Genomic DNA, 4,297 nt, shown 5'->3' with positions numbered 1-4,297 from the left:
TATTCTGTTGATTTGGGGTGGAGAGTTCTGTAGATGTCTATTAGGTCTGCTTGGTGCAGAGCTGAGTTCAATTCCTGGGTATCCTTGTTGACTTTCTGTCTCGTTGATCTGTCTAATGTTGACAGTGGGGTGTTAAAGTCTCCCATTATTAATGTGTGGGAGTCTAAGTCTCTTTGTAGGTCACTCAGGACTTGCTTTATGAATCTGGGTGCTCCTGTATTGGGTGCATAAATATTTAGGATAGTTAGCTCCTCTTGTTGAATTGATCCCTTTACCATTATGTAATGGCCTTCTTTGTCTCTTTTGATCTTTGTTGTTTTAAAGTCTGTTTTATCAGAGACTAGGATTGCAACCCCTGCCTTTTTTTGTTTTCCATTGGCTTGGTAGATCTTCCTCCATCCTTTTATTTTGAGCCTATGTGTGTCTCTGCACGTGAGATGGGTTTCCTGAATACAGCACACTGATGGGTCTTGACTGTTTATCCAACTTGCCAGTCTGTGTCTTTTAATTGCAGAATTTAGTCCATTTATATTTAAAGTTAATATTGTTATGTGTGAATTTGATCCTGTCATTATGATGTTAGCTGGTGATTTTGCTCATTAGTTGATGCAGTTTCTTCCTAGTCTCGATGGTCTTTACATTTTGGCATGATTTTGCAGCGGCTGGTACCGGTTGTTCCTTTCCATGTTTAGCGCTTCCTTCAGGAGCTCTTTTAGGGCAGGCCTGGTGGTGACAAAATCTCTCAGCATTTGCTTGTCTATAAAGTATTTTATTTCTCCTTCACTTATGAAGCTTAATTTGGCTGGATATGAAATTCTGGGTTGAAAATTCTTTTCTTTAAGAATGTTGAATATTGGCCCCCACTCTCTTCTGGCTTGTAGGGTTTCTGCCGAGAGATCCGCTGTTAGTCTGATGGGCTTTCCTTTGAGGGTAACCCGACCTTTCTCTCTGGCTGCCCTTAACATTTTTTCCTTCATTTCAACTTTGGTGAATCTGACAATTATGTGTCTTGGAGTTGCTCTTCTCGAGGAGTATCTTTGTGGTGTTCTCTGTATTTCCTGAATCTGAACGTTGGCCTGCCTTGCTAGATTGGGGAAGTTCTCCTGGATAATATCCTGCAGAGTGTTTTCCAACTTGGTTCCATTCTCCACATCACTTTCAGGTACACCAATCAGACGTAGATTTGGTCTTTTCACATAGTCCCATATTTCTTGTAGGCTTTGCTCATTTCTTTTTATTCTTTTTTCTCTAATCTTCCCTTCTCGCTTCATTTCATTCATTTCATCTTCCATTGCTGATACCCTTTCTTCCAGTTGATCGCATTGGCTCCTGAGGCTTCTGCATTCTTCACGTAGTTCTCGAGCCTTGGTTTTCAGCTCCATCAGCTCCTTTAAGCACTTCTCTGTATTGGTTATTCTAGTTATACATTCTTCTAAATTTTTTTCAAAGTTTTCAACTTCTTTGCCTTTGGTTTGAATGTCCTCCCGTAGCTCAGAGTAATTTGATCGTCTGAAGCCTTCTTCTCTCAGCTCGTCAAAATCATTCTCCATCCAGCTTTGTTCTGTTGCTGGTGAGGAACTGCGTTCCTTTGGAGGAGGAGAGGCGCTCTGCGTTTTAGAGTTTCCAGTTTTTCTGTTCTGTTTTTTCCCCATCTTTGTGCTTTTATCTACTTTTGGTCTTTGATGATGGTGATGTACAGATGGGTTTTCGGTGTAGATGTCCTTTCTGGTTGTTAGTTTTCCTTCTAACAGACAGAACCCTCAGCTGCAGGTCTGTTGGAATACCCTGCCGTGTGAGGTGTCAGTGTGCCCCTGCTGGGGGGTGCCTCCCAGTTAGGCTGCTCGGGGGTCAGGGGTCAGGGACCCACTTGAGGAGGCAGTCTGCCGGTTCTCACATCTCCAGCTGCGTGCTGGGAGAACCACTGCTCTCTTCAAAGCTGTCAGACAGGGACACTTAAGTCTGCAGAGGTTACTGCTGTCTTTTTGTTTGTCTGTGCCCTGCCCCCAGAGGTGGAGCCTACAGAGGCAGGCAGGCCTCCTTGAGCTGTGGTGGGCTCCACCCAGTTCGAGCTTCCTGGCTGCTTTGTTTACCTGAGCAAGCCTGGGCAATGGCGGGCGCCCCTCCCCCATCCTGGTTGCCGCCTTGCAGTTTGATCTCAGACTGCTGTGCTAGTGATCAGCGAGATTCCGTGGGCGTACGACCCTCTGAGCCAGGTGTGGGATATAGTCTCGTGGTGCGCCGTTTCTTAAGCCGGTCTGAAAAGCGCAATATTCGGGTGGGAGTGACCCGATTTTCCAGGTGCGTCCGTCACCCCTTTCTTTGACTCGGAAAGGGAACTCCCTGACCCCTTGCGCTTCCCAGGTGAGGCAATGCCTCGCCCTGCTTCGGCTCGCGCACGGTGCGCACACACACTGGCCTGCGCCCACTGTCTGGCACTCCCAAGTGAGATGAACCCGGTACCTCAGATGGAAATGCAGAAATCACCCGTCTTCTGCGTCGCTCAGGCTGGGAGCTGTAGACCGGAGCTGTTCCTATTCGGCCATCTTGGCTCCTCCCCCCCCAAAAACTTTAATGAATGGAGATGTCATATATTACATGTGAGTTTTTGTGTAATGCTGTTATATATATATATGTGTATATATATATATACACACATATATATATATATAGTCTGTCTCAATTTACAACATATACATATTCAGTATTCCCAGACACTCAGACACCAATGTCATGCCACCAGGGGTGAGTGTTTTAATTTGTGTGTTTGTAAATTATGGAGGTTGATGTAGTGTGGAGGATAACTTAGGCTTAGGAAGGAAAAATGATCCTTAGACTGAACTAACTGAGCAGAGACTGGAGCTGGGAGGGAGAGGTGTTCATGATAATATAATTCTGGGAATCTGCAGAAATCCAGGGGATGGCATGAACTTCCTGCAAGTCACTTGATGTGGACTTCAGCTTCTTACTGTGATTTTCAGGGCCGAAGTGACAGGCTGAATTTTTATAGGGATAGAGTCGTCTTTACATTCTTACTTTTGTAGGGATAAGAGTTGCCTAAGTATGTCTGCTGCTTTTTGTATTATATGCCCAAAGAGCCCCTTCCAGTCCTCTCTACGGCTAAGCTGCTCTCAATGGCTTCCTGATGCTGCTGCCCAGAAAGGAGCCTCAGAGGAGTTAATTTGCCAGCCAGGCTGGTTTGGCTTTTCTCAGCCTTTTCACAGACTCTGAATTATCACACTGTGTGTGCCTGTGTCCTTCTGACTTATCCTCAGGACGGAAAGTCTCCTTCTCCCACTGATTTGTCAGTAAAGATGGTAGTTAGAGATGATCTTTTTACGGCAGAGTAACATTTAGAAATGTTACATACTTAACGTCTGCACCCAGAATTGCTGGGAAGAAAATCTGAGCCACTAGATATTTTCTGCAGATGCTCCTTTACTTATGGTGGGGTCACTTTCTGATAAACCCATCCTAAGTGGAAAATACTGAAAATTGAGACACACTAGACAAGGCTATACTCTGGTTGGCAAACTTGGGCAAGTTATTTCACCTCTTAAAGCTTCTAACATTCAGCTGAAAGACATGGATAGCCAAGTCCACCTCATAAGGTCATTATAAGTTTTAAAAGGGAGAACGAAGGCAAAGCCCTCATCATACAGGGCTTGATGCTCAGCAATAGGGGAGGGATGTGGGCCCTGACACTGAGACAGTGGTGGCAGCTTCCAGATTCACCTGGGTGGTGCACTGGTTCAGGTGGAGCACCATACTGTTATGGACTGAATTGTGTCTTCCAAAATTCATATGCTTAAGCTCTAATCCAATGTGACTGGTGTCCTCATAAGAAAAGGAAATATGGGCAGACAGAAAGATACCAGAGACTTCCACACACAGAAAAAAAAAGGACGTGAAGACACAGGGAGAAGGTGGCCATCTGCAAGCGAAGGAGAGAGGTCTTAAGAGGATCCAAAGCTGCCAACGCCCTAATTTTAGAATTTTAGAATTCCAGCCTCCAGAACTGAGAAAATAAATTTCTGTTGTTTTTTTAAAAAGAGAAAATATTGTAAGTTGAATGTGTGTTTTTGACTTACAGTATTTTCAACTTATGATGGGTTTATTTGGACACAGCACCATTGTATGACATAGCTCCATATACCTGTACATTGAGGAGCATACTGAAAATATACCTGTTCCACACCACGATAAAGCTGAATAATTGCTATCCACTTGGAGTCATCTCTTGGTCTTTATCTCATGTTTATTCTTTTTTTTGGTTTGTTTTTGGTTATAATGCAATTCT

General features: G+C 44.2%; 1 annotated feature.

The window, feature by feature from the left end:
* Positions 1,646-2,272: an enhancer, noted in NCBI's record as "NANOG-H3K27ac-H3K4me1 hESC enhancer chr3:157737752-157738378 (GRCh37/hg19 assembly coordinates)". NCBI's record gives its function as "activates a minimal SCP1, AML or CMV promoter by ChIP-STARR-seq in primed H9 embryonic stem cells {active_cell/tissue: H9 hESC(primed)}" and the evidence as "EXISTENCE:reporter gene assay evidence [ECO:0000049][PMID:30033119]".

This window comes from Homo sapiens, chromosome 3, assembly GCF_000001405.40.
Source record: "Homo sapiens chromosome 3, GRCh38.p14 Primary Assembly".
Taxonomy (NCBI): domain Eukaryota; kingdom Metazoa; phylum Chordata; class Mammalia; order Primates; family Hominidae; genus Homo; species Homo sapiens.
This window is presented reverse-complemented; position numbering and strand designations above follow the sequence as displayed.